The sequence below is a fragment of the Homo sapiens genome, chromosome 2, assembly GCF_000001405.40.
Source record: "Homo sapiens chromosome 2, GRCh38.p14 Primary Assembly".
Lineage (NCBI taxonomy): Eukaryota > Metazoa > Chordata > Mammalia > Primates > Hominidae > Homo > Homo sapiens.
In genome coordinates, this window is record NC_000002.12 from 878,193 (window position 1) to 891,533 (window position 13,341).

At 49.7% G+C, this 13,341-nt stretch overlaps 3 annotated features.

The window, feature by feature from the left end:
* Positions 2,101 to 2,602: an enhancer, noted in NCBI's record as "H3K4me1 hESC enhancer chr2:875979-876480 (GRCh37/hg19 assembly coordinates)". NCBI's record gives its function as "activates a minimal SCP1, AML or CMV promoter by ChIP-STARR-seq in primed H9 embryonic stem cells {active_cell/tissue: H9 hESC(primed)}" and the evidence as "EXISTENCE:reporter gene assay evidence [ECO:0000049][PMID:30033119]".
* Positions 6,582 to 6,631: an enhancer, noted in NCBI's record as "active region_15219". NCBI's record gives its function as "activates an Ori minimal core promoter by ATAC-STARR-seq in GM12878 lymphoblastoid cells {active_cell/tissue: GM12878}" and the evidence as "EXISTENCE:reporter gene assay evidence [ECO:0000049][PMID:35858748]".
* Positions 12,505 to 13,004: an enhancer, noted in NCBI's record as "H3K4me1 hESC enhancer chr2:886383-886882 (GRCh37/hg19 assembly coordinates)". NCBI's record gives its function as "activates a minimal SCP1, AML or CMV promoter by ChIP-STARR-seq in primed H9 embryonic stem cells {active_cell/tissue: H9 hESC(primed)}" and the evidence as "EXISTENCE:reporter gene assay evidence [ECO:0000049][PMID:30033119]".

Consider the following 13,341-nt stretch of genomic DNA (forward strand, 5'->3'; position numbering starts at 1 on the left):
CCAAACTCTCCCCAAACCCCCTCACCCCTACACACACACACGCAAACTCACACACTCCTCCCAAACTCTCCTCAAACCCCCCACCCCTACACACACGCACACTCGCACACTCCTCTCAAACTCTCCCCAAACTCCCTCACCCCTACACACACACGCACACTCCTCCCAAACTCTCTTGCCCACTACACACACATGCATGCCCACACACACGCACACAGACACCAAACCCTCCCGCCCCTACACACACACACGCACACTCACACACTCCTCCCAAACTCTCCCCAAACCCCCTCACCCCTACATACACATGCACACTCCTCCCAAACTCTCTTGCCCACTACACACACATGCACGCCCACACACACACACACACACACCAAACCCTCTTGCCCCTACACACACACACGAACAGACACACATGCACACACAAACACCTTCCTCCAGAGAGGGAGGGTCACAGGCCCAGGTGCCCAAGGACAGCCGGACTGCCTTCAAGACAGGTGGTCAAGGGTTTAACAACTAAACATGGCCTCATTGTGGTCAGGCTTTGGAAAGTCACGGCTGATTCTGGTTGTGGTTTGAGGATGAAGCATCCGACCTCTCCCTTCTTGCCCTGCAGCTGAAGCATCTCCCAGTTGCCCTCAACTGCAGTCTCTGCCCTGGCATTCTGATGGCCAAGCCAACAACAACCAGGACACCATGACTAAAGGTTTCATCTCACTGAACTCTCAAAACCCCCATGGCGCACAGACTCCTCTCTCTGTGTGGCGGGGACAGCCGCAGTCTTAGAGTAAGAATAAGAAGCAGAGAGCACGGACTCTCTCTGTGTGGCGGGAACAGCCTCAGTCTTAGAATAAGAAGCAGAGAGTTTGGTATGTTCCCGTAGGTTCTGAGAGAGTTTAGTTTGTTCCCGTAGGTTCTGAGAGAGTTTAGTTTGTTCCCGTAGGTTCTGAGAGAGTTTGGTTTGTTCCCGTAGGTTCTGAGAGAGTTTGGTTTGTTCCCGTAGGTTCTGAGAGAGTTTGGTTTGTTCCCGTAGGTTCTGAGAGAGTTTGGTTTGTTCCCGTAGGTTCTGAGAGAGTTTGGTTTGTTCCCGTAGGTTCTGAGAGAGTTTGGTTTGTTCCCGTAGGTTCTGAGAGAGTTTGGTTTGTTCCCGTAGGTTCTGAGAGAGTTTGGTTTGTTCCCGTAGGTTCTGAGAGAGTTTGGTTTGTTCCCGTAGGTTCTGAGAGAGTTTGGTTTGTTCCCGTAGGTTCTGAGAGAGTTTGGTTTGTTCCCATAGGTTCTGAGGAGCAGGTGGGTTCTTGTGGGACTGAGTTACACGATGCATGTTTCTGCCTGACCCAAACTCTGTGCTCAATAAATTTTACTATTTCCGGGTTATTTTGGAGATTTCTTTGTGAACAGTCACAGCACAAACCTTTCTTGTACTTCATGTTGTCAGTCTCTGCACATGGCCCGTCGACGCTCCCACAGTTACTGGAGGAAGATGCCAGCGTGTCTGGGTGACTTCAGGACGGGGCTTCTAAAGGAAACGCATTTTTAAAGGAAAGTTGGGGAAGGACGCCCCTGGACTTTCCCGTCGCCGTGAATATTGATCATATTGACGACCTCTCAGTCCTCACCCACCCTCCTACGCAGCTGCCTTCCGTCCTCCCCCGTGGGCCATTCAGTCAAGAAGACCAGAGGAATGCTTTGCGTAATCCCTGTTTTGGGTAACTGGCCACATTTCTTTCATTTCTCTGTAGCTTCTTATTCTTTATTCATTTTATTTGGAATTCATTTTATTCTCTCTTCATTTTATTTTGAGAGGTGGAATAGTTTTGCATTCTGTGAAAGGAGTCCCAAGGAACTTAGTAATCTTTTTATGTGAAGGAGAAAGGCAATCAATGAATAATTAAATACATAAAGACTTGAAAAACAAAGCTCCTCCTTTTCCCGGGAGAGAATCTGAGAACACTTGAGAAGTTTGCCTTGTCTGTTTGGGAGATGCTGCGAGGCCGGTTTCCCGTCGGGCTGCAAACGGCAGAGCACGCGGCCCTGTCCCGGGCAGGCTCGGCTCCAGGTGGAACCCGGGACACGTGTACGTCCTCAGTGGGGCCTCCGCATTCCACACTCGAGCACATTTGAACCCCGGACACCTTTACGCCCTCAGTGGAGCCTCCATGTTCCACACTGAAGCACATTTCCCTTAATGATGCCAGCGAGTTTGACACTGGCGCCCTCCTGCAGTCTCTCCCCAGCCCGAGCATGTGCTCCTGTTCAGCAGGCAGGTCCCCTGAGTCGGGAACGTCCCTGGACGGGGGCGGGGAGGGGGCCTTGCCAGAGCTCTGGTGAGTGGGCTTCAGACCCTGCTTAGTGAGTGGAATTTTCTCTCCATCTTTCTGCGATTATAATCCACTCTGGAGTGGACTGTGGGCTGCTTCCCATAGGGAAATGAGCTCCCAGCTGCACACTGAGACTCCGTGCCCTCCTCATGGGACCCCCACAGCCCATCATGCACTGCAGGGTCTCTGTTGCAGGAAACCACCGGACATGCCGGGACACCTGCTGCTTGGGGGGTCTCAAGCGAACCTAGGACAGCCAGGATGTTCATGCACCTCGGGAGGCTGGGCCCTCGTGGGCAGAGACGAGACACAGAAATACATCTTAGACCACATCTGCCATATCCATGGAGCCATCGACCCAGGAACTGTGCAGGCCGCTTTCCTTCCCTGGCCTCAGATTCCTCCCCTATCAAATGGAATGTTGACCACATTAACTGCACAATGGTAAAATTCTACATATTAAATGTTATCTACGTAGGTTAGGAGGTAAGACAGGCACACATTAATTGCAAATAATGTGACTCCTCATAATTCAGATCAGTCTAGGAACAGAAGCAGTCACGTTCCAAGGAAAAGATAACCTACTATTATCAGAGCAGACTGGGTGGAGGAGCATAAGGCTTGGGTGTGAGGGAAATACAGAAAGAAAGAAGTGGGGGCTGCCCAGCAGCCATCAGGTGCCACACACACATTATCCTGCCTCATTCCGACCGGAATCCTTCAGGGAGTGCCTGCATCCCAACCTCACAGGCCAGTCTGCGCCTCAAAGAAGTCACGTCCCTTGCTGAAGGTCATCCCAGGAGAGAGTGGAAGGGTGGAGGCTCCCATTCTGCATGAGTTGTAATGTATTCCATCTGACTCACTCCTCTAGCTGCTCACAGCACAAACCCCATACAAAACATTAAGCCACCTTCTAGAGGGCTCTGAAACCGAGGAAAAGGCGGGCAAACTAACTAGGGACCCTGGAAACCTGCAAATGACTCAGCAGTGAGCTCTTGGGGGTTTCCAGTCTCCTTTATACCCTAGCCTGGGTGTGACAGGAGCCCAGAAACACCCACCAGTACAGACACACAGGAGCCCCACAGAGGCTGCCCTCTCCAGCCACATGATCTGAAGCAGTGAAGCCCAACAGAGTGGGCTGCGGTAACTGCACCTGCCCCCCCTTCGAGGGGAGAACCCTGATCCCCCTGCCCCTCGGGGCAATGAGAAGGCAACGTCCTGAGGAGGATCAGTGTGGAAGCTGCCTCCTGGCCCTGCTCAGCAGGCACAGGCAGGGGCCTCCCCCTCCCCACCCAGGACAGGGACACTGGGAGCAAAGTCACACCTTCTAGAGAAGACAGTGGCAGGGACCAAAACAGCACTGCAGAGGGCCCATTGACATTGACATTGGACCACTGACGGCAAAACTGAGCCAGGAAGTGCATTCGAACCTGGACCGGCTGACATGCCAAACTAGAAGATTTACCTAAAAACCAGCGTCTTACATAGAAGATTTTCATAGGAGCCAGATAAGGATTTTAAAGCAGCCATGTTAAAAATGCTACAATGAGCCGTTGAGAACACTCTTGAAGGAAATGGAAATATAAAACATCTCAGCAAAAAATAAATGAATAAATAAATATGTACTTGTGTACCAAATGGTAATTTTAAAATTGAAAAAATACAATCATCAAAAATAACACAACACCCACACACAAAACCAACAACAACACTTCAATGCATGAGCTCAGTAGAAGAATGAACACTAGCAAGGACAAAATCAGCTAACTTAAGGAACATCAGTCATCTGAATAATAACATCAATAATCTGAAACAAATAGTAGTAGCAGAAATAAAATAGACTGGGAACCAAATGAATGTTCCTCAGAGTCCTAAGGGGCTCAACAAAAGTTCTGCATATCATCCCATCAGCAACTATGAAAGGGAAAAAAGAATGCAGGATGGAAAAAGCTGGAAAGAAAAAAAAATGAGTAAATGCTTCCCAAGCTTGGTGGAAGACATAAATAAACCTATAGATTTAAGAAAGTAAGTGTCCTCTCCCAATTAGGATAAAACCTAAGAAATTCATGTTCAAATGCACAATAGCCCAATGTTTGAAAGCCAGAAATGAGGAAACAAATCTTACTAACAGCCAGCGCAGAAAGAGCACATCACCTGCCTTCAGGGGAAGAGTGGTTTGGATAACAGCCGATTTGTCACCAAAACTGTGCAGGCCAGAAGGAAGCGACACGTTTGTCAAGTGCTGAAAGAAAAGAGCTGTCCATCCAGAATTTTATATCCAGAAAAATATCTTTCAGCAATGACACAGAAATAAAGAAAGAGCCTCAGATACAAACAAACAAAGGGGCTGTATTACCAGCAGTCTCACTCTGAAGGAATAGCTGCACAGTGTTCTTCAGACAGAGACGTGTTGATGGAACGGAGAGGTGATGATGGATGGAGGTGATGGTGGATGGAGGTGATGGTGGATGGAGGTGATGATAGAGTGACTCTTGGGCACCAGGGAAGGCTGAAGGCAGAAGGAGGGGTGCAGGCAGGTGTAAGTGTGAACAACTGTGTTTTCCTCTGGGGAGCTGAGAGTTCAGCCCTTTGTGTGTCTTTCCAGAGTCCATGACTTTCACCACGCCTCACTGCCTCTCCACATTGCTGTATTTTATTTGGGGACTTTTATAAATTTATTGTCTCCTAAATCTTTCAGATTTATCCTATGAGGTGGTTATTAGTACAGTATTTTGAAGATGTTACACTGAAGCCCCAAGAGGTTGCTAATTTACCCAAAGACACACAGCTAGCCTGACAGAACATGGATGTGAACCTTCTGCTCCCAGAGTCTGTGCCGTTCTCGTGACACCTGTTAGCCTCTTTCTATGCTTCAGCAAGATTGGGATGTCCAAGGTTTGATGACTGAGCACGGTGGGATTTGGTCCTGCCTCTGGCCCAGGGGGAGCAGCAGAGGGCTGGGAATGCCCGTTCTTAGTGCTGGTGTGAGTGTGATTACGGGAACCTGTTCTCAATGCTGGTGTGACCGTGATTACAGGAGCCCGTTCTCAGTGCTGGTGTGAGTGTGATTAGGGGAACCCATTCTCAGTGCTTGTGTGACCATGATTACGGGAGCCTATTCTCAGCGCTGGTGTGAGCATGATTATGGGAGCCCATTCTCAGCACTGGTGTGAGCATGATTACGGGAACTTGTTCTCAGTGCTGTTGTGAGCGTGATTACGGGAGCCCATTCTCAGTACTGGTGTGAGTGTGGTTGTGGGACCCCGTTCTCAGCACTGGTGTGAGCGTGATCATGGGAGCCCGTTCTCAGCGCTGGTGCGAGCGTGATTACGGGAAGGGGCAGAGGACCTGGAGCAGTGAGGACGTTAGAACACACGGGCGCATGGACATTCACAGGTGTTTACTTTCATGAACAGCTGGCATGTTTTTAACTCGTAAATCCTGCATCCCGCACATTATAGCGTTTGTCTTTCTACCCCCCTACTAGAGGGAACAGCATTTCGGGAGGCAGAGCCCATGCCTTCCTCCCAGGCTTCGTTTCAGCCTCTGCCTCTGTCTTGCTTCCATGTCCCTGTCCCCCGTGACATGCCTATTGTTTATTTTGTCCCGTTACATTAATTTCTCTAAGTGCACTCCCTTCCTTTCTTTTAATTGTGGTAAAGATGAGGACGAGGGAAGAGAAGAAGAGGGAGGAAAGAGGAAGGGAGGAGAGGGGATGGAAAAAAGCAGCTCAAACCATAAAAAGCTCATAACCTCCATAAAAAGCTCCATAAAAGCTCCATAAAAAGCTCAAACCTGCCACTTCAGCAGGGGTTGCTCTGGGATCAGACGGGGTGAGAAAGTTCTGTGGAGCTGTGATTTAAATGAGAAACACAGATGTTCATCCAGGATTCCTGGCTCACAGCTCCTAAAACCCTCATCGCTTCCTTAGTGAGCAGAACAGCAGGAGGGTCTTTCGCTATAAGATCTGGTGTCTTCCTTCTTGAGACAGCTGCGGAACTGTAAGGTGAGAGGTTGTTGTCTATAAGAAGCCTATTTAAGCCACACCTGGCCTTACTTTGAGATGGTTTTTGGAAAGTCCCTAGAGAGCTAGGGGGTTAAGGTGGCTTGCCAGGGGAAGCAGGGTTATGATTAGAGGGTTAGAGACCCTCAACCTCACCCAGCCTTCCGGAGAGAGGAGTGGGGCTTGAGACACATGTAATCACCACTGACCAAGGAAAGAACCCACTGTGCCCATGTGAGGAACCCAGTGGTGGTGCTGGGAAGATGGGGCACCCTGAGAGGGTGTGGAGGCTTCAGCCCTCACGGTGCCCTGTGCATCTCTTCTGTCTGCTGTTCCTGAGTCTCTGTGATAAATGGGTGAGTATAAGTGAAATGTTTCCCTGAGTTCTGTGAGCCATTCCAGCACAGGATTGAACCCAAGGAGGGGTCACAGGGACCTCCCATGGATGACAGGCCTGGACTTTCCCTGGCACCTGAAGTGGGGCAGCCTCGTGGGATGGAGCTGTTAACCCATGAGACCTGACACAGTTGCAAGGTAGGTAGCAGCAGAAGTAAACGGAATTATAGGACTCTCAGCTGGTGAAGGAGAGCTGGTCAGCTTGGGAGAAGCCCCCACATCTGGTTTCAGGACTGAAGTGTGGAACGTGTTAAGTGTGTAGCAGAAGAAAAACAGTTTGGCTTTTTTTCCTGCTTTTCAAGTTCTAGGAACATTAGAAATCTTCCTGGAGAAAGAAAATGAAGAGATCTTAGTGTCTCACTGCACCTGACCTCTGTGGCGAGCTAGGAGTGTCTGAGCCCTCACCACGCCTTCCCCTGTGAGTACCGGACCCCTCTTCAGGAGTCAGGAAGCGGATGCAGGGTGGTGCAGCCCCAGGACATGGAGCCTGGGAACGCCAGGCCCACGGTCAGCCCTGCCAGGTGCCGTCGGACGCACCTCGAGGGTTTTCCACGCATTGAAACAGGCAAGGTTAGCATAGGGCAGGGTCCCCAGTGCTGGAACTGCCAGAGCCCAGGGAAACGAGGGTGGGGAGGACTGGGGGGCTCAGGAGGGACTGGCGGGCTCAGGAGAAGACTGAGAAGGACTGGGGGGCTCTGAGGTGGACTGGGGTGCTCAGGGGAAGACTAGGCGGACTGGGGGACTGAAGGGGGGAACCAGGGGTCACAGAGGAAGACTGTGGAGGACTGGAGGGCTCGGGTGAAGACTGAGGAGGACTGGGGGGCTCGAGGGAAGACTGAGGAGGACTGGGGGCTTGGAGGGGAACTGGGGGGCTCGGGGGAGTGGACTGGGGGTGGGGGAGTTCCTGGCCAAAGCTGAGGGGGACCTGTTTGGAAACCGGAAGGATATGGGGGATTAGGGAGGCCTAGGGGTACATGGACGAGCTGAAGAGGAAGAGGCCCCCACAAGGCTGCAGCCGGGGAGGCACCGACACCACTGCTGGTACGGAGACGGGCATGGCTGAACCTGAAGGAGCCCCAGACTCAGGCCAGCTCTCAGATCTGCTGGGGCCCAGCCGGCCAGGGTCACCTTCCAGGACGCAGAGTGCGAGCAGGACTGGGGGCTCTGCAGAGCCCATGGAGGCCCCGGGACCCCATCCTCCTGGTTACAGTCCCGGATGGCTTTGTCCTGGCTGACGTCTGACCCGAGACCAGAAATGAACAGCAGTGACACATCTCATCCCACAGGGAAAGTAAATTCAAACCATTCAGGGCCCTCGTTCAGTGCCCTCAATGCGGCAGATGCTGTTGGTAGCACGAATCTCCACACCGAGGTGGGTCCTCCCACGACGGATTCCTCCAAGCACAAGAGCTGGCCTGGGACTAATGTGGACAGAGGCCAGCGCTCATGAATTCTCAAAGATGCCGCCTTTGTGGCCCCTCCCCATAGGGACTATTCCTCCAACCTGATTGCTTCCACGTGCACATGAATACACACACGTGACAGGAATCCCTACATTCCTGAATTCCCTAAACCGATGCTCCCTGAGCTGGAACAGAGCGCACAACGAGAGAACGAGGAGGCCGAGTCCGTCAGAGCTTCTGGTCCATCCATGTCTAGCCCAGTGAATGGCGTTGGTTTTCTGAAGGCCGTATTTTATGCTGGCTTCGTGTTTCTTTGAAGTGACAGAGAACCTACTTTTGATGGAAACACAGTGACAGAACACTCAGCCTTCCCCTTTCCCTGATGCCTGCATGGAGACCCTGTCGTCAGGAGCCAAGGGTCCCCCGATGGCAGGAGGCCCTTCCAGAGGCAGCGGCTTTCTGGATCTCATTTTACAAACCAGAGGGAGGCCGCAGGGTCCGTCATGAGGAATCTGCTCCACCAGGGGGTGAATGCCTTCCCTGTGCCAGCGCACACGCCGCACTCTTGCCACCGCTCTGCATGGAAGAAGCTCTCGTCCCATCACAGTCCGGATTCTGCTAAGACCAACTTTCCCTTGGCCAGGGTGGGGCCACACACACAGCTCACCTAGTGAGGAATTACCTTTGTAACACCTGTTGGTCTTAAATAATTTCAATGCCAACTCAGGCAGTAAATTAGCACTGTCAGTAGCAGAGAACCTGCTCAGGGCATAACTGTCCTTGGTGAAGCCAACAATTAAACAGACGAAAATAACTTTCCTCTTGGCCTCTGCAGAGTGATTAAATCAGTGGGGGCACTGAACCCCAGATACTCATCAATATGTTTCTGCTGCAAAGCCATATTGCCTTTTCCTGAAAATAAATGACTTTATTGCAAAAGGATTCTCATATTTAATATTTTCAACTCTTCAAAAAGCAGCATGAAATGTATATTTAATAAAGAAGATCAACCTCTTCTAGTAAAATAAATATTAAATCCTGAAAGTTATTTATAATGTGAAGTCTGTTTCAGCATGTTATCAAAAATACAGTCAGAACTTACTCTTGTTGAGTTTTCTGAGTGACAGTCGTCGATGCTTAGGAAGGGGCTGGAGTGGAGAGTCAGGGTCTGCCTCTCCCACGAGCACCCTGCAGACCCTTCATACCCACTCCCCTCAACAGAGCACAGACCCTCCCTCTTCCTTGTCTTGACCCAACCAGATTCAGCACCGAAGAGACAGAAAACATTGGAGGATAAGCTGTCACCTGGACCCGCATGACTTGGTGGGCTGCAGACATTTGATCCTGCCACATACCTAAGATGAGATGAATGTGGGCAAGTCTGTCTTCATCCTGTGGGGCTGCCCTGACGGAGAAACACAGACAGGGTGGCTCAAACAAGAATTTATTTCTCAGAGTTCTAGGTGGGAGGTCGGAGATCAAGTGTCCTGCTGTCCTCCCTTTCACAGAAGGAAACAGAACTCAAAAACAAGCAAGGCCACCCACCTAGTGAGCAGCAGGTGCGGACTCTGAGGCCAGATCCCTTGATGCCTCCCCACCATGCACTCAGCAATGCTGAGTGAAGTCGATCCAATATGTGCTCAGGGATGTTGCTGTATTTCAGGATTAAGTGTTTACTACGACAGGACAGTTCATCATGGAATATTTTAAAGCCGCTTCCACAGTGTTCTAGCACACTCTAAAACATTGTACCACGTCCATTTACATAAGTACATGGTGAGGTCAAGGCTACGTTGGATCGGAGGAGACCCCAACTGCCCTGTCTGTGATCCAAGAGAAACTCAGTCATGATATTGAGAATAATTCCGTGTGTATAAATTCCACGAGACAAGGCTTCATTGTTGCTTTTCTTGTTCTTGTTTTGTTCTATCTGCTTATCTCAAGGGAGCAGCATGCACTAGACAGACTTGTGATGTGCCTTGGCCCAGGCCTGTATCTGAAATCATGACAAGGGCTCATGGTGGAGCAAGTGTGAAACACAGACGTTAACAACCAAAGTGGCTTGTGCAGCAGTTAAGAGGCCTGATATGTGCAGCTGTGATCTGCCCCCGACGTTTACAAACACCAGGAGCTGCCACTGCCCAGCCCTGACCTAGGGGATTCCTCACTCGGAAAGAAGCACTGAGGCTCATGGAATCCAAGCGCACGAGACGCGGGCAGGCGGTGCCCCAGAGCCCACCACGAATCCACGGCCTCCAGAGTTACCAGTATCACTGCTCAGTGAGGGCTGGGGGAGTACAGCCAAAGACTCCTTATCCAAGTCAGCACCCTTCCCACTGGATCTGAGAGCCAGCCAGCCTTGGCTGTGTCCCTGCCTGGCAGGGAAGTGAGTCACCTGTGATTGGAAACAGCCTGAACTGGGAAAGAAAAGAGGAAAAACGAACCTCAGATTTTTGTAAACACGGAGCCCATGGTCTTATTGTTTTTGCTGCTCTTCTGTTTTTGTAGCTGGAAAGGACCTTGGTGTCCAATGCTCTACGTGGAGTGGATGTAGAGGTTCAGGGTTAAGGCGCTTCCGGGAGGTCCCACAGCTACTTAAACATGGGGAGCATCCACTCAGGGCTACAGCCTTGAGGCAAGCACGAGTCTAAGCCCATTTCATACATGAACTCCTTTAAACCTCACAGCAACCCCAGAGTCAGGGGCAGGTTGTTAGTGTCCACACCCCCTGGAGCCCCAGGGATGACCTGGGGGGCCCAAGGTCACAGCCGGCAGGCGAGGGCCTGAACCTCCAGGGGCACTCAGATCCACAAGGGTCTGCAACGCTGCAGTTCCCGCTGGGTGGTGAAGGTGAAAGTGATCATCTGTGATTGAACACTGAGAGGAGAACCATTCCATGCCATCATTTTAAGGTAATTATTTGGGGTTTGGCCAACCAGTGCAGCAAAACAAGTGAAGTGCTGGGACACAGCAAAGTGTTCTTCCATGCCAGTGCTCCCGGCGACCTGGATTTAAAGACACACTCATGAGTCTTTCAGGCCAGGGCTGGCGTGAGGGTCCACTCTGCATCTGAACAATGCCTCGCCTTACTCTCGAGAACAGAGCCGTCTCCAGCAGACACTCTGAGGCACCTCAGACACAAGGTCATTTCCAGGAGACATCAAGTCTGAAATGCATCGAGTGACTCCAAACGAAAATGTGCCCTTTATATGCTAATTATGCCAGCTCAAAGAACAGCTCAGCCGTTTAGAGGGTAAGAAATATTTGAGAAGATGTATATGAAAAGCTTCATGGCTTGAAACACAACCCCAGCTTGTAGGAAACTCAGAAACACTGCCTCTGAATACTTCCCACACCCTGCTTGCTGGAAGGAGCACTCAATGGAAGGAAGTGAAATTGGTCTCTGTTTCCTCAGGAATCATACCTGACAGGCTAATTTCTCAGTGGCAAATGAAAGTGGTAAACATTTGGGTGATATGAACAATTCCAAAATATCTACTCCCAATGTCAGATTCCTTTCTTGAAGTTTAATTCATGAAAAGATTCTGGCCTTCTCATTTACAGGCTATGAGCAGAGACAATGTCTTTATGGAAAATCAGCTGACAGCATCTTTATTAATTATAGATCTTAATGTTATTTTAATTTTGTGTTTCAACTTATTACAAAAATATCTCTATTTTAAGAGAATGTTTCTCTCTACACATAAACTGGGCTGTTCTGCGTGAGGGGAAGTACAGGCTGTGAGAAACAAAAGTGCATGAGCCATCCGGCGTTCCCAGTGTCTGCCGCAGACCCAAAGTTAAGGTTTGCCTTTAATTTTATCAGTTCTCTTTACCCGCTATTTTGTAGTAAAACTCATTTTCTATTTTCATCATATGCTTCTCAGATTCTCACTAGTTTGATAGCACACGCATATACATCTTTTACTGAAATAATACTTTCTAACGTAATGAGCACTTACATTAATAGCCTAAGCACCACCCAACACACATCCATTCCTCTCAGAAGCTCCCCAGTCCCTGAGCCTAGAGGCTGGGCCTCCCTCAGCTCCAAGTAATTCCTCCTCAAGGCACCAGTGTGGAGGGCATCGCAGACGCATCCGCCCCAGGACTGGAGCTCACACTGCAGCCCTCCATGGGGAGCTCCCCCTCAGATCTGACCCTTTTCTGATTCTCTGGCCCATCCGCCCCAGGACTGGAGCTCACACTGCAGCCCTCCGTGGGGAGCTCCCCCTCAGATCTGACCCTTTTCTGATTCTCTGGCCATTGTTCTTTCCACCGCAATCAAACATGAAAGAGCGTTTTTGCCTTCCTGTTCTTCTCTAGAATTGTGTTTATTTAAAGTCCTTAAGAGAACATCAAGAAGTGAAAGAATTACTATTCTCAGTAGTACCACCATTCTAAGCTTGCACATAAACATTGTCTCCTCCTGGGAGAAATGCCTGGATTTACCCTGAAAGACCCCGGTCCAGTGTGTCTGTGGCCAGGTCTCAGCCCTGGTCCAGTGTGTCCATGGCCAGGTCTCAGCCCTGGTCCAGTGTGTCCATGGCCAGGTCCCAGCCCTGGTCCAGTGTGTCTGTGGCCAGGTCTTAGGAGCCCATCTCAAGAATCATCGTCACTCATCCAAAGCAGCCCCTCCATAGAACGGCTGTTGACAGCCCTGCCTCGGATTTTTCTGGAACTGACCACACATGGAAAGCAGGGCTGGCCCCAGGGCACAAGCACTGAGTCAGCCTGGGTTCAATGCCCGTTCCATAACTCACGGCTGTGTGACCTTGGCGCTCTGACTCAGAATGTCCAAGCTTTGATTTTTTTAATTGAAAACTGATGGAAAATCCACATAAAAGGTTTAGCACATGGTAAACAATGCACAAAAATTATTCATGAGATTGCTCAAATGTTACAACACTGAGTTCCTGAAAACAGCAGTTTGTATCAGAAAACATACCAAATAGTATTTTTAAAGGTTTGTATTATCTCTACTTGTAAAGAAAGACACTGATTTCATTTTTCCTTAGTACTTTATTTTATGTAAAAGAATTCTAGCATTGTACAGGCATGTAGATTAATGAGCCAATTGTGTATACTTTTGTGAATTGAATAGTTAGTATAAAAAAAATTTATGTTACTCTTTGAATAGTGAAATTTCACTTCACTATTAAATCCAAGAAACATTTTTAAAAAACGTTTGTCAATAATAAAATATTTATGGTCATTT